This window comes from Homo sapiens, chromosome 11 (assembly GCF_000001405.40).
Source record: "Homo sapiens chromosome 11, GRCh38.p14 Primary Assembly".
Lineage (NCBI taxonomy): Eukaryota > Metazoa > Chordata > Mammalia > Primates > Hominidae > Homo > Homo sapiens.
The window spans coordinates 112,184,616-112,210,813 of NC_000011.10; the positions used below are offsets into that span (position 1 = coordinate 112,184,616).

General features: G+C 39.0%; 1 protein-coding gene and 1 pseudogene across 5 annotated transcripts in view; both read left to right on the forward strand.

Annotated features, from left to right (window-relative positions):
- BCO2 (beta-carotene oxygenase 2) overlaps nucleotides 1–26,198 on the forward strand; it is a 43,435-nt gene that overhangs the window by 9,104 nt on the left and 8,133 nt on the right. For 4 of the 5 annotated variants that reach the window (NM_031938.7, NM_001037290.4, NM_001256397.3 and 1 more), the window contains 6 exons: nucleotides 8,859–9,082; nucleotides 9,264–9,379; nucleotides 10,038–10,140; nucleotides 15,084–15,212; nucleotides 15,998–16,158; nucleotides 17,408–17,575. In NM_031938.7, coding sequence (NP_114144.5) covers nucleotides 8,859–9,082; nucleotides 9,264–9,379; nucleotides 10,038–10,140; nucleotides 15,084–15,212; nucleotides 15,998–16,158; nucleotides 17,408–17,575 — 901 coding nt within the window. The remainder of the gene's footprint in view (nucleotides 1–8,858; nucleotides 9,083–9,263; nucleotides 9,380–10,037; nucleotides 10,141–15,083; nucleotides 15,213–15,997; nucleotides 16,159–17,407; nucleotides 17,576–26,198) is intronic. The other variant, NM_001256398.3, reaches the window with a different exon arrangement.
- MRPS36P4 (mitochondrial ribosomal protein S36 pseudogene 4) lies at nucleotides 23,960–24,424 on the forward strand (annotated as a pseudogene).

Below are 26,198 nucleotides of genomic sequence, written 5' to 3' on the forward strand. Positions count from 1 at the left end.
AATAAAGGCATTTGGCTCGTCCAAGATGTAATACCAATCAGTCAGCACCTGTGATTCTTTTACTTATATTTTTTGTTTTTTTTTTAAACAAATTTTAGCCCAATTTTCTTGAGTCATTATCTTTCTGCAGCAGCAGAGGAAGGGCCTGTACCTCCCTACCAATGACCTGGTGTCCTTATTTCTACCCCAAGTGCAGGGATATTAGCTGTGTCCAAATGGGTTCTGAATTCTACAGACTCATCAACATGAGGCAAGGAATCATTGAAAGCCACCTGTGTCTCCTTTGGGGGAATGACATATCTTTAGTATTTATGTAGCTTATTCTTCCATATGTACATATGCAAAGCTTTCCTTAACAGTAAAGGGTACATATGCATAGTGGGAGGAGATCAGACCTTTACAAGTAAAGGAAAGCAACTTCAGAAATGAATTATTTTCTTTGCTTTATTATTTTTACCAAGACAGAGAAGTATTGTATTGAGAAATAATCTATTTTCATAATCAATATGTGCCTAAATTATATTTAAATCATTTCACTCTGTACTATATTTTCAGGAATTATAGAAGGTATTATTCATTCACTTAAAGGTACCTCTGTAGAAATAACCTAAAACTGCAGAACAATCTGAAAGATCTAAACATGGTGTGCTTAGAAACTGCAGATTTTAGATCTAATGTATACTGCATTAATAAACGATATAAAGTGTTGAAAAAAATGAAAAACCAATAACTCTTCAGTATAAATTTCTCTCAGTGTCTACTAGGGACGTGAAGCTATGTGACAAAACCTCTATGGCCAGGAAGGAATCTGCTTTGTTTTAAACATTTTTAAATATTAGAAACAATTTATTATGAAAGTTTTACCCATATAAACTTTTTAAAATATAGAAAAGGGAGGCTAGGGGAAGCATGTACCACCTGACACATCCTTTATTAGCACTTTGATGTATTTCCTGCCAGTTTTCCTCGCTATTTCTACGGATTTGTTTTAAACAATTACAGTTATATGTAGTATTTTTTGCTCCACTTTAATAAAACTTCACACTATCATAAGCCTTTTTATCCATGTTGCTACCAAGTCTGAACGATCATTATTTTTAATGGCTAGATGAATTCCAGGAATTATTGTTTTTTAAAAAAATATTGTGGTAAAATATAGATAACATACAATTTACCATCTTAACCACTTTTATATATAGAATTTAATGGCATTAAGTAGATTCATACGATTGTGCTACCATCCATCCACAGAATTCATTTTACCTTGCAAAACTGAAACCTTGTATCCACTGAACACTAATTTCCCATTCTTCCCTTCCTCTAACCCCTGGCAATCACCATTCTAGCTTCTGTCTGGTAAATCATCATGCCCTTTCCTCTGGGCCTGGTTGGAATTTGATCATGGTCCTTCTGTGCCTCTCATGGTCTGTTGTTGGAAACAGACCAAGAATTAGGGATGTTTAAAAAAAGATTATGAGGCAAAGAGAAGTAGAAGAGAAGGAGGGCAAAGGGGAGGAGGAGGAGAAACTTCTAATCCAGCTCCCAGAGAATAAACAGCCTCTTACAGAGGGTATATGGTATTTCACCTGCTGCAGAAGGAGAGGCTGTAATGTATTGTTCAAACCAAGTAGCAGAACCACTCAGGGCCCAGGCTTGCCCCACAGGCCTCTTTGAAGATAAGCATCTTTGTGGGAGAAGTGGATGGCATGGCTGGCCCTCACAAGTGTCTACTTTGTCCTCAAATCAGTTTCTTCAGAGCCAGTGGTGGGCATTTATAGCAGGAACAAGGTCTTGCCTTCCCCTTGGACAGATATCTTTAGGTCAAAAGGAGATAGACACTCAGTTTAGTGGTTGACTCCCCAGATAGGACCTACAGGGAGAGGCAGTGACCTAGGGAAGGGCAGTGTAACCCTTCACCTATGGATAAGAATAGCCCTGCTCACTTGTGAATCTCTTATCACTCTGTTAGATGCCATTTAACAGATCCATGTCAGCATGCAGACACAGTGATGACATGCCAAAGGTCTATCTTCAATTAAATTTTTTTCATCAATGATTTAATTGAAGACATACTAGTTTTTAAAGTTATGTGAAGGCTGGGTGTGGTTGATCACACCTATAATCACAGTGCTTTGGGAGGCCAAGGCAGGAGGATGGCTTGAGGCCAGGAGTTCAAGGCTAGCCTGGGCAACATAGCAAGACTCCATCTCTACAAAAAACAAAAATTAAACAAAAGTAAAAAGAATAAAGTTACATGAATCTGGGCAGAATACTAAATAGCGTCAGCACCTTTAGTCTCTACCATTCTCTAGACAGGATTTCAGGATCCATAGTCTAGGCTCCCAGTTCCTGGACTATCGCCACTGTAATGATTGTCCCCCTCCATGCCACTTCGACAAGGCCACATACTAAGGCCACACTTGGAACTTACTATACAGAATTTCTCCACCCCTGAAATCTTGAACTCTGAAACTTTACTCTGCTCAAAACCCCAGTTTTCACGGTCCTACATTCCCATTAAACTTATTTTTTTCATTCCATCAAGTTCTCCTTTCCTTCCTGTCCACTACCTTCTTAAGGCTTATCTACTGTCTCTTAATTTCTTCTCCCTGGCCCAGACTTTACCGTCAGTCACTTCAAGCACTTTCAACACCACGCTCACTTCCTTTGCCCTGGTGGTCACTGCCTCTCCTCTGATGATTTTCAGTCCTAGATTAGCCCATCCTTGGTTTCCCCTGCTCATGGCCCAGTCCTGCTGAGCAGGTCTAGAGCAAATCATACAACCTTGCTGATTGATTCAATTACAAAATGATGATTTCCAGTCCTAGCTGAGTGCTTGGTGCTGCCAGGAATCTTTAGCAGTCAGTGTTCTTTCCATCTTCTCACAGGGTCTGCCGCAAGTCTCTGACCCTTTCCTGAAGCCTCCTTCATTCTCCCCGTCCCTTTCACCCTCAGCAGATAAACTGGCCTACTTCATAGGAAGGAATGACTTGAGGGACAGCTGCATTTGAACTCCTTCAGCTTCCCTCTTCCCACCTCCGCACTTCCCCACACTTCTGATCAGAGGACGCAGCTCTTTTCCTCTTCTCTGAAACTTTGATGCATCACGATCCCTCCCATTTCCTCATCTGCCAAATAACTCTTAGAGCTCACCTTACCTTTTGGGATGCTGTAGAGCCCAGGATTTAGCGTCATCACTGAATTCAAACCCTTGTTCTGTCACTGAGCAGCCCTGCAACTGTGGGCATATTCCTCTGAACCTTGGTTTCCACATCTGTAAAATGGGAAAAATATTTCCTCGCAGGGTCAATGTGAAGGGAAAATATATGTATAAGGGATGTAGCAAAGTGCTTAGCACAATACCTGGCATGTAGTAAGTGCTTGGTAGATGGCACTTATCTCACTGGCAAACTTATCTAGATACTCTCAAACATGGATCTCCCACCCCGCCCCCAGCTCTTGGGCTCTAGACCTGTGTTTTGCCAACTGGCTGTGGAACATCTATACTCTGGTGTTCTACAAATAGTTCAGACTCTCTCAAAACCGAGCCATTGACTTTTCCCAGTGCTTGTTCTTCATGTCTTCTCCATCCCAGTTAAAGCATCACCAGCCAGCCAGTCATTCAGGTCCAACATTTTGGACCCTCTCTTTGTCGCTGTCTACATCCTATCAGTCATCTCTGACTTGTTTCTGGAGTTTGTCCTTTGCTCACTGGTGCTGCTTCAGTTTAGGTGCTTATCTTCTCTTGCTTGAATTATTGCCTGGGCTCCTCGTTGGCTTCTTCAATCTGTATGCTGTTCTTTGTATTCCAGGATGCCGGTCACACAGTTTCACTCTCCTGTTTCACAACTTCACACTTTCCTGTTGAAGGTCATTAAGCCTTAGTCTAAGTGCTGGTGGTCGTGGGCAGACCTGTTTCTCCAACATTATCACCTGCTCCGCCCACATGCTACCCCCTCAACTGGCTGTTCCTCTAAGATACTATATGTCTTCTGACCCTTCCTCCTTCCATCATCTCTGCCCTTGTCCTCTCTGCAATTGGCAGACATCCGTAAAGAACCAGCCAAATGTCTCCTTCCCTCTTGACCTTTCCCTGATTCCCCCAGCTTTCCATCCTATTGCTCCTTCTCTGCATAAATAGCTTTTTTTTTTTTTAAAGTTTCTCCCTTGTAGCAGCAATCACTTTGTATCCATTATTTATGTGCCTGTAAGTGCTGACCTTGGCACAATGCCTGGCAGATAGTAGGGACTCAAGAAGATGTTGACTTGAATAAATGAATGCATGGAATGACAGGATCTCTTGAGACACAATCTAACAAGGTGAAATATATTAAGTAGCAAAAATTCTTGAAATTATTGTAAGTTTTTTTGAAAAATACTACCAAAGTAGACAAACCATTAGTTAACATGGTCAAGAAGAAAAAAGGAAAAGGCACAAACATACAAAGTATGAAATGACAATGGAGAAGAAATAATTGAAGCAGAAAAAAATTAATTACAAGAGACTTTGAAGGCCTTTATGCAAATACATTTGAAAGCCTTGATAAAATGGATAATTCTATAGGGAAAGCAGATTACCAAAATTGATGGAGGCCAGGTGTGGTGGCTCATGCCTGTAATCCCAGCACTTTGGGAGCTCAAGGCAGGATAACCTCAGCACTTTGGGAGGGTGAGGCAGGAGGATTGCTTGAGGAAAGGAGTTCGAGACCAGTCTGGGCAGCCTAGCCAGACCTTGTCTCTACAAAAATAAAAATAAAAAAGAATTAAACAAAATTGATAGAAAAGGAAATTTTTTTTTTTTTTTTTTTGAGACAGAGTCTCACTCTGTCGCCCAGGTTGGAGTGCAGTGGCACGATCTCGGCTCACTGCAAGCTCCACCTCCCGGGTTCATGCCATTCTCCTGTGTCAGCCTCCCAAGTAGCTGGGACTACAGGCACCTGCCACCACGCCTGGTTAAATTTTTTTGTATTTTTAGTAGGGGTTTCACCGTGTTAACCAGGATGGTCTTGATCTCCTGACCTTGTGATCCGCCTGCCTCGGCCTCCCAAAGTGCTGGGATTACAGGCGTAAGCCACAGCACCTGGCCTCAGAGAGGGAAGTTTTAAGTAGACCAGTTTCTTTAGAAGAAATAGGAACCTTATTAAGGAAATGTTTCTCAAAAAAATTACCAGGCCCAGATTATTTCACAGATGAATTCTACCAAACCTTCAAATGTGAGATAGTCCCAATACTTTATAAATTATTTCAGAGCATCAAAAATGAAGGAAACTTCCCTATTGTTTTTATAAAGGAAGCATCATATTAATATCTAAATATGACAAAGATCATGGAAAAAAGTAAACTGCAGACTAATATTATTTACGAATATCCACGATAAAGTACAAAATAGGCCAAATATCGTGGCTGACACCTGTAATCCCAGCACTTTGGGATGCTGAGGCAGGAGGATTTCTTGAGGCCAGGAGCTTGAGATTAGCCTGGGCAACATAGTGAGACTCCATCTTTACAAAAAAATTAAAAAGTAGCCAAGTGTGGGGGCGTGTCCCTGTAGTCCCAGCTACTTGGGAGGCTGAGGCAGGAGGATCACTTCAGCCCAGAATTGAGGATGCAGTGAGCTATGACAGTGCCACTGCACTCCATCCTGGACCACAGAACAAGACCCTGTCTCTTAAAAAAGAAGTACAAAATATATAATACTAATATAACACTAATAAATATTTTGTTAAGAAACAGAATTCAATACCACATTAAAAAATAAAATTAACTTTGATCAGGTGGGATTAATTTCAAGAATACAAGTTAGGCTTATTATTAGTAAATTCATTAATACAATACAAATACGCCATATTAGTAAGTTCCAGGAAAAATAATCACAGAATTATCTCCATAGATGTTGAAAAAGCTTTTGTGAAAATTTAACATCCATTCTTCCTAAAAATTGCTTAAGAAAATAGGGTTTGGCTGGGCGCAGTGGCTCACGCCTGTAATCCCAGTACTTTGGGAGGCCGAGGTGGGTGGATCACAAGGTCAGGAGATCGAGACCATCCTGGCTAACATGGTGAAACCCCGTATCTACTAAAAATACAAAAAATTAGCTGGGTGTGGTGGCACGTGCCTGTGATCCCAGCTACTCAGGAGGCTGAGGCAGGAGAATTGCTTGAACCCGGGAGGCAGAGGTTGCAGTGAGCTGAGATCGTGCCACTGCACTCCAGCCTGGGGCGACAGAGTGAGACTCTGTCTCAAAAAAAAAAAAAAAAAAAGAAAAGAAAATAGGATTTGTAGGATTTGTTGGATAGTTGCTAAATATGATTTTATATGCATGTATTTCTTAATATATATCTCTTGGTATATGTATATAATATATATTATAAATATCTTATGTATCTCTATCTATTATATCTTGGTGCTACAAGCAGTAATACTACATTGGAAAATATACCAGTATTTTCTTCAAGTCCAGAAACAGGAAGGGATGGTCAGTATCTTCACTACTGTTCAACATTGTACCAGATGTAAGCAATGCAATTAGATGAAAGACATTGACCAGAGACACAAGGACTAGTAAAGTAAAATTATCTCTTTATGCAAATGATATAATATTACTATTATATCATATTACTATAATGTATTAATCCTGGAAAACCATAGAGGATCAATGATAAAACTAAATTTAACAATAAAAGGTAAGGTCATAGGATGTAAAATTAACACACTGAAATAATATCCTTCATATATGCAAACAATAATCAGAGAACATAATGGTAGGGAAACTTCATTTACAATTGCAACAAAGAAGATTAAATACTTAGCAATGAATTTAGAAATATGCAAACTTTAAAACACCCTTGGAAGACAAATTCAAACAAATGTAAAGACCATCCCCTGTTCTTGAATAGAGTGATTCAACATCATAGAGATGTCCCAGTTCTCCTGAATCAATTTATAAATCTAATACAATCTTAATAAAAATTCCAACAAGCTGTTTAAGAAAGTTGGACCAATTGATACTAAAGTTCATATAGCACAATAAATATGTAAGAATTGACAAGAAAACAATAAATTTTTTTTCAGAGGGAGCAACTAGCCCTACCAGATATTAAAATACACCATAACACCTTTACAATTAAAACATTGTGATATTGGTGCAAGAATAGACCAATAGATGAATGACATAGAATAGAAAGACCAGAAGTAAACCCAGGAACTTAGGGAAATTTAGGTATCTGATAATAGTGGCATCTCAAATCATTGGGTTAAAGAAGGACTTTTTCTTTTTTCTTTCCTGCAATTTAAAAAATTCTGGTAAAATACATATAACATAAAATTTACCATCCTAACCATTTTTAAGACAACAGTTAAGTAGTGTTAAGTATATTCATCTCGTCATGAAACAGATCTTTAGAACTTTTTCATTTTGTGAAATTGAATCTCTATACTCATTAAGCAACAACTCTTTATTTCTCCTTCCTGCTTCCTCCTGTTAACCACCATTCTACTTTCTGTTTTTATGAACTTGACTACTTTAAATACCTTATATAAGTGGATTAACAAGTGGAATCATACAGCATTTGTCTTTTTACGACTGGCATATTTCATATCGCATAATGTCCTCAATGGTTCATTCATGTTGTAACATGTGACAGGATTTCCTTTGTTTTAAAGGATAAGTAATATTCCAGTATATGTTTGGGGAGGCAAAATTTCCCCTCTTACCTCTTAGGGTCTTCAGCTGAACCCAATAATTAAACTGATTAACATGTGTTAATCAGTTAATCAATGTGTTAAGCATATGAAAGAAGAGACCATATAATAAACCATTTAAAAAGCGAAGCCACAAACTTTTCCTTACAGTTTTCAATGTTTAACTATTTAAGTAGATCATTTCTAGTGTAATCATATGGACAAAAATGATTATCTAGGAAGGACAGTTATCTTATTTGTCTACTTTAGCATAATCTTGATAAAGCTGAAAAATTGTAAAGTAAATGGAAACTTTAATACATATAAGATATGAAGATAACTATTTCTAAAAGCTTAGGAACTTGTTCTTTTTCTTTCTTTCTTTTTTTTTTTTTTTTTAATGAGACGGGGTTTTGCCATGTTGCCCAGGCTGGTCTCAAGCAATCCACCTGCCTCAGCCTCCTAAATTGCTGGGATTACAGGTGTGAGCCACTGTGCCCGGCCTGGAGCTCATTCTGATTTGTTAAACATCAGCCATCCCATATCCTCTCATGCTATTATCTTAGCTGTGGAGTAAAGATTAGAATTTTCTTAGGATTCACCACAATAGGGGTTTTCTAAAATGTGAGGTTTTTTTTTTTTTTTTTTGACAGGGGTAAGGGTCAGGAGAATGTAAATTATTCTTTTTTTTTTTTTTTTTGAGATAGAGTCTCCCTCTGTCGCCCAGGCTGAAGTGCAGTGGCGCGATCTCGGCTCACTGCAATCTCCGCCTCCCAGGTTCACGCCATTCTCCTGCCTTAGCCTCCCAAGTAGCTGGGACTACAGGCGCATGCCACCATGCCCAGTTAATTTTTTGTATTTTTTAGTAGAGATGGGATTTCACCACGTTAGCCAGGACGGTCTTGATCTCCTGACCTCGTGATCCACCCACCTCGGCCTCCCAAAGTGCTGGGATTACAGGCGTGAGCCACCGCGCCCAGCCTATTCTTTCCTTTTATACCTAGGATATACCCAAAATGCTCTCCTCCCACAATTTCAAGTTCTCTGACTAATCAGGTTGTGCTGGGAACCTGTCCCATTTCCTTATCTTTATATTTGAAATGAAGATCTATCACTCTGTCCCTCATTTTTATCTCATGTTTTCTTACTGATATTTATTTATTTTCTCCTGTTTGAAGGTACAATCATTGGTTTGATGGGATGGCGCTGCTTCACCAGTTCAGAATGGCAAAGGGCACAGTGACATACAGGAGCAAGTTTCTACAGAGTGATACATATAAGGCCAACAGTGCTAAAAACCGAATTGTGATCTCAGAATTTGGCACACTGGCTCTCCCGGATCCATGCAAGAATGTTTTTGAACGTTTCATGTCCAGGTTTGAGCTGCCTGGTAAAGCTGCAGGTGATAGTGATGATTATTTAAACTATTACGATATATAACCATCTATACAAACATAAATCTTGAAAATAGATTTTTTTGTGTATGTGAGAGGATGTTGAAACTGCTTTCTCCCTTTGAGTGTGTGCTTAGCGTCGTCTACAGTAAGCTGTGGTACTTAAATAACTCTAGGGTTTGGTTTCAGCCATGACTGACAATACTAATGTCAACTATGTGCGGTACAAGGGTGATTACTACCTCTGCACTGAGACCAACTTTATGAATAAAGTGGACATTGAAACTCTGGAAAAAACAGAAAAGGTAAAGTACAGGTAAAAAAAAATGAATAAAATAGATCCTAACATTTCTTTCCATTTGAAATACTTTTTAGAGTAGTATATATCAAGAAGAAATTGAAGCCTTAACTACACAAAAAGAAAGTTATTCATGATGCAGGTCACCTTTACTCTCTGGCCTGATGGCCTCTGGGTTGGTTTTCCTTAAATATAATTCTAAACTCCTTCCTTAGTCCTAATATCTGAAGGCTAGGGTAAAGGAGAAATAGAAGAGTACTGATCTACTTTGGCTAGTTGGGGTGTTCTTCCTAGCTATGGTTAGTATTGGACTGGAGGTTGTCTATACCTGTATTTCCTTCACATAACATGTTAATTAAAAAGAAAATTTTAGACTAGATTTTTAATTTTAATTCTTATGCTTCTTTTGAATTTTCCTGTGATATTAGGCAAATTTATTCAGGGTGGTTTTGTTGTTAGTAGTGGTGATGTGTTTTTGTTTGTTGTTTTAATCTTGATTTCTTTTTTTTAGTGGGAAAAATAATTTTTATTTCTCAGAGGCAAGAAATTAGGGCTTACATTGCAGTTTTCTTATCATATTTTTAAAAACATTAGATATTTCTACTATTTATGCATGTGAATAGAGATCTGCCCATTAAAAATCTCCAGTGGTCTCAAATTTGCAGGTAGATTGGAGCAAATTTATTGCTGTGAATGGAGCAACTGCACATCCTCATTATGACCTGGATGGAACAGCATACAATATGGGGAACTCCTTTGGGCCATATGGTAAAGTTGCAATAAAGGTCTTTTTAGAAATAATTGAGACCAGGCACGGTGTGTATATAAAGATGAATACTACAGGTTTGTTTTTTACTGGCACAAGTAGAGAGAGGGTGCTCTGGACACCTCTACACCCAGCTCTCTCTCCTCTTTATTACTTGATCTCAGATAAGGAGGATTCTTCAATGCTGTTATAGGAAACAGCAAACATCCTTCTAAGTAAAATATTTCAGCAAAATGGATCCATGAACCCAGCAGTTTTTGGTCTATCTATCTTATCTTGATCATTAAAAAAATCAATTTTATAATAAATTAACTCTGTTAACCAAGTAGATAACTTTGTAACTCATTCATAATATGACAAATACTATTTCACCATTCTAAACTACATTTTTTTTTTTTTTTGAGATGGAGTCTTGCTCTGTTGCCAGGCAGGAGTGCAGTGGCGCAATCTCGCTCATTGCAACCTCTGCCTCCCAGGTTCAAGCGATTCTCCTGCCTCAGCCACTGGAGTAGCTGGGACTGCAGGTGTCCTCTGCCATGCCTGGCTAATTTTTGTGTTTTTAGTAGAGACGAGGTTTCACCATGTTGGCCGGGATGGTCTTGGTCTCCTGACCTCGTGATCTGCCCGCCTGGGCCTCCCAAAGTGCTGGGATTACAGGCGTGAGTCACTGTGCCTGGCCAATTACACTTTTTTTTATTTTTTATTTTTTTTTACAAAGGCTCGCTCTTGCCCAGGCTGGAATGCCGTGGCACGATCTCAGCTCACTGCAACCTCCACCTCCCAGATTCAAGTGATTCTCCTGCCTCAGTCTCCTGAGTAGCTGGGATTACAGGTGCTTGCCACCATGCCCGGCTAATTTTTGTATTTTTAGTAGAGACGGGTTTTCAGCCACGTTGGTCAGGCTGGTCTTGAACTCCTGACCTCAAGTGATCCGTCTGCCTCGGTCTCCCAAAGTGCTGGGATTTCAGGCGCGAGCCACTGCGCCTGGTCTGAATTACATATTCTAAAATTAAAGTAACTAGATCTGTGATTTTCAACCTTTAATTGCCTAACAATAATCTGGAATGTAGATAGAATCATCTGGATTTCATTCATCTTCAGGGATTCCGGTTTAGTAGAACTGAAAAGGGGCCAAGAATTTGCATTTTAACATGGTCTCTGGGTGATCTTGGTGCAAGTGGTCCCTGGATCTCACCGATTAACCCAGCCACCCATCATGAGAGCCTGTGCTTGTTACTTTGCCTCAGTTTGCTCCTTATACAAACTCCTGGAGAGTCTTGCAAAGTTCAGCTGACAGTATTGGGCAGGTCCAATCTTTCTGGACATTCCTCTGCTGGGTGTTTCCTGGGTGTCTGTTTGTCTTACCTAATGTCTTCAAGACTTGCAGTTAGAACAGCTCATTAACTAATGTGTTTAAATTCCGTGAATTGAGTAATCCAGTTGCTGAGACAGGAAATTCATCTCTTTATCTTCTCCTAATCCCAACGAACACTGAATCTACTTTTTTTTTTTTCTTCACTTGATTATTTGGTTCAGTGAGAAGTTTATGAACTGGAACTTAATGTGCAGGCAACTGCAGGGAGCTTGACTACTTGATAGACATTTGGGGGAAACTTAGTGATTCTCATTGTAATACAGTAAAATGCTTGCTAGTAATTGCTACCTTTAGGAAGTAAAAAGCTTTGGTTTTAGCTTTTCTAGATATTTTTAAAAGGCTTTTTAAAATTTGTAAAAATCCTGTAAACATTAATCAATCCAGTTGGTTTTTAATACTTATTTAAAATATGTTCTTCAGACTAATATTAGAGACAATAATAGAGTACTCTTGGACTATAGAGCTTGTCTAATATTTCTTTCATCACTGTACAAAGCATGATGTTTTGTATGTAGTGGGTTCTCAAAACATATCTATATCCCCAACCTAGACCTCCCAAGTATTTTATATCCAATTGCTTACTCAGCATTCTTCCTAGGATGTCTAATAGGCATTACAAAATTAACTTGTCAAAAACCAGACTCCTGATATTTTCCTCTAAACTACCACCACCACCTCCTCCTTTCCTCCTCCTCCTCCTCCTTCTCTCTCTTCCTTGTTCTCCTTCCTTTCCTCCTCCTCCTCCTTCTCTCTCTTCCTTGTTCTCCTTCCTTTCCTTCCTTTCCTTCCTTCCCTTCCCTTCCCTTCCCTTCCCTTCCCTTCCCTTCCCTTCCCTTCTTTCCCTCCCTCCCTCATTGCTCTTTCTTCTTCCTTCTTCTTCTTTTGCTTTCTTCGATTAGAGATGGGGTCTTGCTATGTCGCTCAGGCTGGACTTGAACTCCTGGGCTCAAGACATCCTCCCAGGCAGCTGGACTATAGGCATGCACCATTGTGCCTGGCTTATTTCTTTCTCTCCTTAAGATGAGTCTTCCCCATCTCAGGAGATACTAACTCCATCTTTCCAGTTGCTAAGGACAATAACTGTGGAATCATCCTTTACATTTATCTCTTACATCAGTTGATCAAAAAGTAATTTCAGGGTCAGGTGCAGTGGCTTATGCTTATAATTCCAGCACTTTGGGAGGCCAAGGCGGGTGTATTGCTTGAGCTCACGAGTTGAGACCAGCCTGGACAATATAGCAAGACCTCATCTCTACAAAAAATACAAAAATTAGCCAGACATAGTGGCATGTGCCTGTGGTCCCAGCTACTCAGGAGGATGAGGTGGGAGGATCACTTGAGACCAGAAGGTTGAGGCTGCAGTGAGTCGTGACTGCACCACTGCACTCCAGCCTGAGTGACAGAGTAAGACCCTGTCTCAAAAAAAAAAAAAAAGAAGTAATTTCAGCAATGCCTTCAAAATATATCAAAAATCCAACCACTTCACACCACCTCCATGGCCACCACTCTACTTTGAGTCACTATCCCTTCTCACTTGAATGACTGCAATAGCCCCTCAACTAGTTGCCCTGATTCTGCCCTTGCCCCACTTCAGTTTCTTTTCAGCTCTGTAACACCAGAGTTACCAGAGTTATCCTTTTAACCCACACCCACTTCTCTGAGCTTACCTCCTAGACTCTCCTTCTCGCTTGTCATGATAGGGCCACACTGGCCTCCTAGCTGATACTTAAACACTCCAATCGTGCTCCTGGCTGAGAACTTTTGCATTTGCTCTTCCCTCCACCTGGAATGCATTTCTCCCAGATATCCTCAAGGCTTTCTTCCTCACCTCCTTTAGGTCTTTACTCAGACATGACCCACTTAGTGAAGCTTTTCCAGACCAGCATATTTAAAGTTGCAAACAGTAGCCCCTACTCCTCATATGATCACTCCTGATCCTTATTCCTTGGCTTATTTTCCATTATAGTTCTCATTGTCATCTGATACATTGTATTTTTACTTATTATATGATTTAAAAGAAAAACAACAAGGCAAAATAAGAGATTTTGTCTGAGCACAGTGGCTCACACCTGTAATCACAGCACTTTGGGAAGATGAGGTGGGAGGATTGCTTGAGACCAGGAGTTCGAGGCTGCAATGAGCTATGATCACACCACTGTACTCCAGACTGGGTGATAGTGCAAGGCCCTGTCTCTAAAAAAAATGAAGAAGAAGCCAGTGGAGGAAGGGGGGAGATTTTTGTCTATTTTGCATATTTCTGTATACAAGTGCCTAGAATATAGTACTAAGAACACTCAGAATGGTGTCTGGAATATAGTAGGTGCTCAAAAAGTAGTAGTTGCAGAATAAATAAATAAAGAACTGTACTGGAAAGCAGATAAACAAGCAGAAAATTGTATACAATGAGATATGTGCTATGACTATGAGGATGTAATGAGGACATACAATAGGGGCACCAAGTGCCTTTGGGGTGGGGAGGAGTCAGGGAAGACTACTTGAGGAGTGGATATCTGCGTTGATTCTTGAAGAGCCAGTAAGCAATAGCCAGATGAATGATTGCATGAAAGAATGTTGATGAGAAAGGATGAAATGGAACCCAGAGTGACCCTAGCTAGGGGTCCAGAGGGCTGGAGGGAAGGAGTTGGACATGAGTGCAAATGGAGACTGTAGTTGTTGGAATAGGGGAAGGGAGTAAAGGAACAGAATTTGAGGATATTCCTGGCTGCTATCTTTTTTTTTTTTTTGAGTTTAAGAACTTCAACTCTATGACCTGTCTATTCACCATACATATGAGACAGGTCCATTATAATCCTTACCTCATTATATAATAGCTCTTTTTTATTATTATACTTAAAGTTCTGGGGTACATGTGCAGAACGTGCAGGTTTGTTACATAGGTATACACATGCCATGGTGGTTTGCTGCATCCATCAACCTGTCATCTACATTAGGTATTTCTCTTAATGCTATCCCTCCCCTAGCTCCCCACCCCCTGAAAGGCCCTGGTGTGTGACGTTCTCCTCCCAGTGTCCATGTGTTCTCATTGTTCAACTCCCACTTATGAGTGAGAACATGCGGTGTTTGGTTTTCTGTCCTTGTGTTAGTTTGCTGAGAATGATGGTTTCCAGCGTCATCCATGTCCCTGCAAAGGACATGAACTCATCCTTTTTTATGGCTGCATAGTATTCCATAGTGTATATGTGGCAGATTTTCTTTGTCCAGTCTATCATTGATGGGCATTTGAGTTGGTTGCAAGTCTTTGCTATTGTGAACAGTGCTTGGCTGCTATCTTAATGTTTCCTACGAATTAGAGATGAAGTTAGCATTATAGTACAATGAATCATTGGTTGATCACTTTGGATGTCTGTTTCAAAACGTTAGCTAATTATTTTCATAGAGCTAACATTTTTAAGATCCAGATCTTTGTTTGAAATAACCCTTCAGGAAATAAGAGTGTCACACATATTGCATAAATCTCTTAATTGCTTTTGGCAAGTCCACAAGTGCAAGGGTTGTCTTTTAATCTAGAATATATGTAAAACAGGTAAGATAGGACTTTTCATTTTTCAGGTTTCTCCTATAAGGTTATTCGGGTTCCTCCAGAGAAGGTGGACCTTGGGGAGACAATCCATGGAGTCCAGGTGATATGTTCTATTGCTTCTACAGAGAAAGGGAAACCTTCTTACTACCATAGCTTTGGTGAGTCCAGAGATAAGGCAAATTTCAGTGGGCTCTGCCTTGATGTTGCTGTAGCAGAAGGACTAGTCTGGCAAATGTTATGTTAATAGTTTATCACGCTATGGTGATAATGAGACCAAGGTTGCATTTTGATGCCAGGTAAGGTTATTCTGTTTAGTCACATACTCCTGACCCTAGCCAGCTGACTGCTTGAAAAGATATACTGTAGTTGCTTTAGTATAAGCAATTACTAAAAAATTAATTGATATAATTTAAAATTTTAGGCAACCTTAAAGCCCACAAATAGTAATCATACATGAAAATGTTGTCTTGACTATATTTTTTGGGGAAATTCATATTCTATATAGGTTGATTCAGCTTTTACTCAGAATATTTATTTTCTGTACTTTAAATCATTATAGCCAAACTGCTTCTAGATTCTTACCCCCAGTATAAGCAGGAAAAGGATTAAAGGATACATGTAAAGATCATAAAGGACACTTTAATACTATACTTTTTTACTTTGTTCCTAAACCAAATAATTTAAAAAGAAAAGAAAAGGAAAAAAAGATAAAAAGCAAGCTGAGAACATGCAACCCAAGCTATTCTAAGCAGTTCCCTTTTTTATAAAGGAACAGGAAATACGTATAGTAAAGCTGGGAGACAGTAAACATGTATTTCTGGCTGGCATTTGTTTAGGGCATCAGTAACGTGTCCAGGCATTCAGACAAGTCCCCATAACTGGCACATTTCAGACAACTCTAGTTTGCCAAATAACATTTTTATTGTTTGCTGGAACCTTTTAGGAATGACAAGGAACTATATAATTTTCATTGAACAACCTCTAAAGATGAACCTGTGGAAAATTGCCACTTCTAAAATTCGGGGAAAGGCCTTTTCAGATGGGATAAGCTGGGAACCCCAGTGTAATACGCGGTTTCATGTGGTGGAAAAACGCACTGGACAGGTGGAGTATTTTGAGTATATTTATCATGAAAATTGTTGGAAACAAAGGCAAATTTCCATATAGTTGATTTTTTAAAAATCTTCCCTGGTTAAAAGTGCATAAGACACTTTTAATCAAGGATATTACCTTCTTCTATAGGTTGAGCTAGCTACTTATTAATTAGTACGATGGATTTTGCATATTAGAGAATTATAGGAAATGATTTTATCTTTTTAATGATCTGATTCAATTAAAATGGCATCCAGGAAACTCTCTTAGCATGGACTTTTTCCATATCATAATAGTTGCTAAAGAGGGTGTTGTTCGTGCAGAAATCTTCTGTAATTTTTGCAGTAATACTTTAATTAGTTGATTCTCTGGCTTCTTTTTCCTTTTTTTTTGAGATTTTTTTTTTAGATGGAGTCTTGCTCTATCACTAGGCTGGAGTGCAGTGGGGAGATCTCAGCTCACTGCAACCTCCACCTCCCGGGTTCAAGTGAGTCTCCTGCCTCAGCCTCCCGAGTAGCTGGGACTACAGGTGTGTGCCACCACACCCAGCTAATTTTTTTCTATTTTTAGTAGAGACAGGGTTTCACCATATTGGCCAGGATGGTCTCGATCTCTTGACCTCGTGATCCACCTGCCTCAGCCTCCCAAAGTGCTGGGATTACAGGCGTGAGCCACTGCGTCTGGCCCAATTCTCTGGCTTCTTAATATGTGACTATGACAATCCTACTAAAGTCTAAGCATGTTGATTGAATATCTTTTTATACTCCTGATTCATAATGCTATTATATTTGCCTACTTTTTACCTCTCTAAAGAGATAGTATCTTAAATTTACTCTATCTGGATCTCATTACAAAAAAAAATTTAGTAATGACTGCACCTTAAAAAAAATTAGTCTTTGAATTTATCATCAGTATACTGAGTAGCAATATTTTCTATTTAACCATGCAGTTAGAGTCCAAGATTTACATATCACTCAAAACATTGGGCTATATTTCATGAGGGATTTTAAGTTCGTTATAACAATTGATTGGTCTATATCAAATAGACCCAGTTCATTGCTTAAGCAAGCAATGTTTAAATCAAAGCATATTTGCTTCTACATTCTGTATTCTACTTTTATATATACTGGACCTGCCACTTCAGAGGGGAAAATCTTTCTAATTTTCTTATTTTGAACTTTTTGGACCTGTTTCCTAAAGGAAAGGGAAAAAGAAGAAAACTAAAAAAAATTTTTTTCATTGTTTGTGTTTTCCCCTGCAGCTCCTTCCAGGGAGATACTACAGCAAACCTTTTGTTACATTTCATCAAATCAATGCCTTTGAGGACCAGGGCTGTGTTATAATTGATTTGTGCTGTCAAGATAATGGAAGAACCCTAGAAGTTTACCAGTTACAGAATCTCAGGAAGGCTGGGGAAGGGCTTGATCAGGTAAACATTAGAATTTGTCAAGAGTCATCAAAATAATTTTGAACTCCAAGATCTGGCTTTGGCTTTGGAATTACATGTTTCTCTCTCTCTCTCTCTCTCTTTTTTCTTTTGAGACTGAGTCTTGCTGTGTCACCCAGGCTGGAGTGCAATGGTGCGATCTCGGCTCACTGCAACCTCTACCTCCCAGGTTCAAGAGATTCTTGTGCCTCAGCCTCCCGGGTAGCTGGGATTATAGGCACGCACCACCATGCCCTGCTAATTTTTAATTTTTTTGTAGAGATGGGTTTCACCATGTTGGCCAGACTTGTCTCGAACTCCTGACCTCGAGTAATCTGACTGCTTCAGCCTCCCAAAGTCTTGGGATTACAGGCATGAGACACCATGCCTGACCTAGGAATTACGTGTTTCTCTTGTCTCCTTGTGGCAAATAATGAGAGAGAGTAGTTTTAAAGCATTGAAGACACAGCTTCATCATTTATTTAATATTAAAAATAATTTGAAATAGCTTATTTAATACCTAATAAGTAAGAAACATGGCAAAGAGAGCCAAGATATGTGTTTAAAAGCATATGTGGCTGGGCACGGTGGCTCACGCTTGTAATCCCAGCAGTTTGGGAGGCTGAGGCAGGCAGATCACTTGAGCTCAGGAATTTGAGACCAGCCTGGACAACCAAAATGGTGAAACCTCGTCTCTAGTAAAAATGCAAAAATTAGCCAGATGTGGTGGTGGGTGCCTGTAATCCCAGCTACTTGGGAGCCTCAGGCAGGAGTATCACTTGAACCCAGGAGGTGGAGGTTGCAGTGAACCAAGATCGCACCACTGCACCCCAGCCTGTGCAACACAGTAAGACTCCATCTCCAAAAAAAAAAAAAAAAAGCATATGTGATAGTTCCTTATTTCCTTATTACACTTAAGCACCAAAGTTTGCTAGAAGGAATAGCAAAGTAGACCGTCAATCAGTCCACCTAGTTGAAGGGATTCACTTTTTCCTGATGCTGAATCCAAGGTAAAGTTTTTCCTTGAATTATGTAATATACATTGTTTCTAGCTGTAGCTTTATTTTTTAGCTATAATTGTCTTTTTAAATGTTTGTAAAATAGTACTTATTAAGTTTACTTATGCCTTACTAAGCTTACTTATAGCTTTATGGTGGGTCTTGACATCTGTGGTTGTTTATCTCTTTTCTGTTTTAAGATTGCCTGGGTTTTTCATGGCCTTTTGCATGTCTATAAATTTTAGAATCCATTTATCAGGTTTTGTTTTTGTTCTTGTTTTAAAAATAAAATTCATTGTATATATTTGAGGTTTACAACATGATGTTATGGGATACATGTAAATATTAAAATGGTTAGTATAGTGAGGCAGATTAACATATCTATCATCTCACATGTTACTTTTTTGTGTGACAAGAGCAGTTAAAATCTACTTGTTTAACAAAAATCTCTGATAGAATACAATCTTATTAACTTTATTTCTTACGTTTGTACGTTAGACCTCTAGACTTGTTCATACTACATATCTACTGTTTGGTATCCTTTGAGCTACATCTTGTCTTTGCCTTCCCCTCCCCTCTGGTGGTAACCACTGTTTCATTGTCTTTCTCTGTGTATTTGAGATTTTCTTTAAAAAATTCCACATAAAAATGAGATCATGCAATTTTTTTTTCTTTTCTTTTTTTTTTGAGACGGAGTCTCACTCTGCCACTCAGGCTGGAGTGCAGTGGCGCGATCTCGGCTTACTGCAACCTCTGCTCCCGGGTTCAAGTGATTCTCCTACCTCAGCCTCCCGAGTAGCTGGGACTACAGGCACATACCAACATGTCTGGCTAATTTTTGTATTTTTAGTAGAGACCAGGTTTCACCATGTTGGCCAGGCTGGTCTCTAACTCTTGACTTCAGGTGATCTGCCTGCGTTGGCCTCCCAAAGTGCTGGGATTACAGGCGTGAGCCACAGCGCCCTGCCTCATAGAATATTTTTCTTTCTGTGTCTGGATGTTTCACTTAACATAATGTCTTCCAGGTCCATCCATGTTGTAGCAGACGTCAGGATCTCCTTTTCTAAGATTGAGTAATACTCCATTGTGTGTATATATCACATTTTCTTTATCCATTCATCTGTCAATGGGTATTTAGGTTGTTTCTGTTTCTTGACTGTTATGAATAATGCTACAATGAACGTAAGAATGCAGCTATTTTCATGAGGTGGTGATTTCATCTCATTTGAGTATATACCCAGGAGAGGGATTGCTGGGTCATATGTTGTACAGTTGACCCTGAACAACATGGATTCGAACTGCATGGGTCCTTATATGCAAATTTTCTTCTACCTCTCCACCCCTGAGATAGCAAGACCAACCCCTCTTCTTCCTCCCCCTCAGACTACTCAATGTGAAGACAATGAGAATGAAGACCTTTATGATGATCTACTACCACTTAATGAATAGTAAATATATTTGCTCTTCCTTATGACTTTTAGTAGCATTTTATTTTATTTTTTTTGAGACAGAGTTTTGCTCTTGTTGCCCAGACTGGAGTGCAATGGCGTGATCTCGTCTCACTGCAACCTCCGCCTCCTCAGTTCAAGCAATTCTCCAGCCTCAGCCTCCCGAGTAGCTGGGATTACAGGCATCTGCCACCATGCCCGTTGTATTTTTAGTAGAGATGGGGTTTTGTCATATTGGCCAGGCTGCTCTCGAACTCCTGACCTCAGATGATCTGCCCACCTTGGCCTCCCAAAGTTCTGGGATTACAGGCTTGAGCCACCACACCCAGCCTTTAATAACATTTTCTTATTTTCTTTTATCTGGTTTGCTTTATTGTAATAATACAGTATATAATACATATGAAATACAAAATATGTGTTAATTAACTGTATGTTATTGGTAAGGCTTCCAGTCAACAATAGTTTATTAGTAGTTAAATTTTTGAGTAGTCAAAAGTTATGTGTGGATTTTCGACTATGTAGGGGGTTGGCACCTCTACCCCACTCCGTGTTGTTCAAGGGTCATCTGTATTTTTTATTTCTTTAGGAACTCCTATACTGTTTTTCATAATGGCTGTACCAATTTATATTCCCACCAACAATGTACTAGAGTTCCCTTTCTTCTACACCCTTGCCAACATTTGTTATCTCTTGTCTTTTTGATAATAGCCATCCTTATGAGTGTGAGGTTTTATATAGTGGTTTTAATTTGTATTTCCCTTATGGTTAGTGATGTTGAGCACCTTTTTATATGCCTATTGGACTTTCAAATTTTATTTTATTTTTTATTTTATTCTTTTAGGGACAGGATCTCACTCTGTTGCCCAGGCTGGGTGCAGTGGCATGATCATAGCTCACTGAAGCCTCAAACTCCTGGGAACACGTGATCCTCCTGCCTCAGCCTCCCAAGTAGCTGGGTCTACAGGTGCGTGGCACCACACTCAGCTAATATTTTAAAAACTTTTTTGTAGAGACAGGGTCTTATTATGTTGCCAAGGCTGCTGTCAAACTCCTGGGCATGCATGATCCTCCTGCCTCAGCCTCACAAGTAGCTGGGATTACAGGTGCATGGCACCACACTCAGCTAATATTTTTAAAACTTTTTTGTAGAGACAGGGGCCTTGTTATGTTGCCAAGGCTTTTCTCAAACTTCTGGGCTCAAGTGATCCTCCTGCCTCAGCCTCCCAAAGTGCTGGGATTACAAGTGTGAGCTACCACACCTGGCCTCTATTTTTGGAGAAATGACTGTTCAGGTCCATTGCCCATTTTTTATTTATTTTTAATTAATTAATTAATTAATTTATTTTTAACTTTTAATTAAAAAGTAAACTTTAATATTGAAAATGCAAACTTGGGGAAGACAGAAAAGATCACACACAAGGCTGTCACTTCACACTTGGAAGGTTGCGCAGCGGCCAGGCAGAGGCGCTCCTCACATCCTAGACGGGCGGCAGCTGGGCAGAGGTCCTCCTCACTTCCCAGACAGGGCGGGGGCCGGGCAGAGGCGCTCCTCACATCCCAGACAATGTGGGGGCCAGGCAGAGGCGCTCCTCACTTCCCAGACAGGGCAGCGGCCGGGCAGAGGCGCTCCTCACTTGCCAGAGGGTGGGCGGCTGGGCAGAGGCACTCCTGGGGCGGCAGGGGCGGCAGCTGGGCAGAGGTGTTCCTCAGTTCCCAGACGGTGGGCGGCCGGGCAGAGGCGCTCCTCACTTCCCAGACGGGGCGGCGGCCGGCTTTTCCCATTTTTTAATTGGGTTATTTGTTTTTCTGGTATTGAGTTGTAAGAGTTCTTTATAAATTTTGAGGCCAGGTGTGGTGGCTCACGCCTGTAATCCCAGCACTTTGGGAGGCCAAGGTGGGAGGATTGCTTGAGCCCAGCAGTTCAAGATCAGCCTGGGCAAGATGGCAAGACCTCATCTCTACAAAAAAATTTAAAAATATACAAATTTTGAGTATAATTCCTTATTGGATATGTGGTTGCAATTTTTTTCCCCAGCCCATAGGTCGCCTTTTCGTTTTGTTGATTGTTTCCTTTGCTGTGCAGAAACTTTTAAATTTGATGTCAACTTGTCAGTTTTTGCAAGGAAAAAACCTGATACAATATTGCAACTGTAGATCAATTTGGAGACAATTGACATCTTTACAATATTGAGTCTTCCAATCCATGAACATGGAATATCCCTCCATTTATTTGGGTCTTTTAAAATTTCTCTCAGTAAAGTTATAGTTTTCAGTATAAAGATACTACATTTCTTTTTGTGTGTTTTGAAATTATTGTAAATGGTATCTTTTAAGCTTTCATTTTCTGTTTGTTGCTCTTTATAGAAATGCAATTGATTTTGTATATTATCTTCATATCCAGAGATCTTGCTAAATTCACTTATTAGTTCAAATAGTTGATCCACAGATTATTTTGGATTTTCTATGTGCACAGTCATGTTACCTGAAAATAATGACAGCTTTCTTTCTAATACTTAGGGCTTTATTTCTTTTTCTCGCCTTACTGTACCAGCTAGGACTTCGAGTTGAATAGAAGTGCAAGATAGTGAATAGAAGTTGAATAGGTAGTGTTGAAAAATGTTTAATAATTCATTATTAAATATAAAATTGCTATAGGTATTTTTCTAGCTATCTTTATCAGATTATCCTAATAGTGCCTTTTAATGAATAAACATTCTTAACTTAATATGGCCCAGTATACAGTCTCTTCCTTTATGACTTATACGTTGTACATCTTGTTTTAGACATCTTCTCATGGCAAGGTAATGAAAATATTATCCTATGTTATCTTCTAGAGAAGTCAAGTATCTGTATATGCATTATTCTGTTTCTGGACTGTATATTCTGTTCCATTGTTTCTACTTATGGTTACTTGTGCACTGCATTAAAAAAGTCTTAAGGTTTAGTGTCAAGTTATCCTAATATTTTTCTTTTGAAAAGAGTGTCATGGCCATCCCTGGCCCTTCACGTTTTTGTAGAAATTTTAGAATCAGCTGTCAGTTCCCCACACAAAAATATGGTCACATTTTAATTCTATTTGCACTGAACCAATGTATCAATTTGAGAGAGGACTAACCTCTTTACACAATGTTGAGTCTTCCAGTACGTGAACACAATATATCTTTCCATTTATTTGAGACTTCTTTAATTTCTTTCAATGTTTATAGTTTTCTGGTTACATATTTTCTGCATCTTTTGTTAGATTTATTCCTAGGTTTTTTTTTTACATTATTTTAAATGTTGTTTATTTTTTGCTTTCATTTTATGTTAGTGTTGCTATATAGCAATTTTTTTTTTTTGAGACAGTGTGACGGTCTCACTCTGTCACCAAGGCTGGAGTGCAGTGGTGTGATCTCAGCTCACTGCAACCTCTGCCTCCTGAGTTCGAGCAATACTCCCACCTCAGCTTCCTGAGTAGCTGGGACTACAGGCATGTGCCACCATTCCTGGCTAATTTTCATATTTTTTTGGTAGAGATGGGGTTTCACCATGTTGGCCAGGCTGGTCTTGAACTCCTGACCTCAAGTGATCCACCCACCTTGGCCTCCCAAAGTGCTGGGATTACAGGAATGAGTCACCGCACCTGGCCGGCAATTGATTTTTGTTTGTTGATTTTATATTCACTAATATAGTAATTACACTTACAAATTCTAATAATTATAGATTCTTTTAGATTTTTACATCTATAATATCATATGCAAGTAATGATAGTTCCTTTTCTAACTCTACATGTAAGCTGTATATTGGCTTTTTTTTTTTTGTCTTATTTCACTGGATCTTCAGTACAGTGTTGAATATAAGTGATGATAATGGCATCCTTAACTTGTTCCCAATCTGAGAGGCAAAGCTTGCAGCATTTTACCATGAAGCATGCTGTGGCTGTAGATTAAAAAAATATAATAGAAACTGTCCCTTCTCGGGGGTCATGATGGGCAGCAAGATGCATCTGCTAGCAGTGTCGTTCAGGTAGTCAAGCCACATGCTCCATTAATAAGCTTCCCTGCTGGAAGAGACAATCCTAAACCCAATGTACCAGAAGCTCTGAGATCAGCAGGGCAACCATCTCACGATTCTGCAATTTCCCAGCATTCTAAGGGAAGTAAATTACTGGATTTGTGGATGTACCAGACACTGCAGAAGTAATGAAAACATTACCTCAGAAATATAGAAGTAAACTTGTGTCTCAAGAAGAAATTGAATTTGTCCATTGTGGAGATCCAGAATAATCACTGTGGCTGCTGTTTGTCATCAGACAAAAGAATTACCTTTACAATAAAGGACTTCCAAAAAAAAATAGACTGTTTTTTAGAGCAATTTTACTTTTAAAGAAAAATCAAGCAGAAAGTATGGAGAGTTTCCATATTTCCCTCTCCTGCTAATGGTACATTTGTTACAACTGATGAATCAATGTAGGAGTGTTACATTATTACTAACTAAAGTCCATACTTTACATGATGGTTAGGTCTGTGTTGTACAGTTCTACCGGTTTTGAAAAATGCATAATGTCATGTATCTACCAATATCATACAGAATAGTTCACTGCCCTGAAAATCTCCCTGTGCTCCCCCATTCGTCCCTTCCCCTTTCCTCCTCTCAGCCCCTGGAAACCACTGATCTTTTCACTATTTCTGTAGTTTTGACTTTTCCAGAATGTCACATAGTTGGAATCATACAGTATGTAGACTTTTCAGACTGACTTTTTTCACTTAGCAATATGCATTTAAGGTTCCTCTGTGTCTTTTGTGGCTTGAGAACTCATTTCTTTTTATCGCTGAAATGTGTATTCATTCATTTATTGAAGGACATCTTGGTTGGTTCCAATTCTTGGCAATTATGAATAAAGCTGTTATAAATATTTGTTAGCACGTTTTGTGTGGACAACTTTTTAAAAAGATACATTTTATTAGATTAGGAGAGTTCCCTTTTACTCCTAGTTTACTGAGATTTTTTGTCATGAATGGATGTTGGACTTTATCAACTGTTTTTTTTCTGCACTATTGAGATAATCATATAACGTTTATCCTTTATTCTGTGAACATGGTGAAGTACATTGACTGATTCTTTAAAAAATGTTCATAACAGCCATTGATTGATTTTTGAATGTTAAGCTACCCTTCCATTCCTGAAGTAAATCCCAATTGGTCGCATTTTATTTGCTTTTAAATATATTGCAGGATTTGCTTTGTTACTATTTTGTTTAGAATTCTTTGTATCTATGTTCATGAATAAAATTGCCCTTTAATTTTTTTCTTTTCTATAATGTTCTTACTAGGTTTTGGTTTTGTGGTTTTTCTAGTCTCATACAATGAGTTGGGAATTGTTCTCTGTTTTCCTTCTTTCTGGATGATATTGTATAGGATTGATATTATTTCTTAAATATTTGGAATAATTCAACAGTAAAGCCTTCCAGACTTGAAAATTTCCTTATAGGCAGATCTACAGTTCTAGAATATTGATTTGGTTCTCTTTTCCAATTTATAGTTCTCTACCACAATTCTCAGTTTAAAATAATTTCCTTAAACATATTTAGAATAGTTAAAGTCTGATAACTAGTATCTGGATCTTCTGTGATTCTGTTTCTGTTATCTGTTGTTTATTTTGGTTTTTAATCATGTTGCCTTGTCTTTTCATGTGCTGGTTATTTCCTTTCATTTGCAGAATATTGTGTTTTAAAAATTGTGGAAATATTTTGAGACACAAGATGATGTTATTTTCCTCTAGAGAAGAATTTCACTTGCTTATATAATTTGAAGCAGGATTCAGTCCATGCAAGAGCTGGACTATTTCTTGTTTATTCTTATTCATAGGGTACAGACCTATGAGGTCCCAACCCAAAGGACTAGAGGTTTACTAGGCCTTCCTCTTCTTGGAAAATCGTAAATTCAAACTTTTGTCACTCTAGCCCTCAAAACTATTGAAAAGCCCTTCTCTTTAAGGTTAAGGGGTAAGTGAGTTGCTATGGCTATACCCTTATCAAAAAGTAGCGTGAAGGATCCTTGTGGTGATGGATCTGTTCTGTATCTTGAGTGGCGTGGTGGGTACATGAATTTACACATGATAAAATAGCATAGAACTAAATACACGCACACACACACACACACACACACACACGAATGCATGTTAAACTAGAATAAGGTTGGT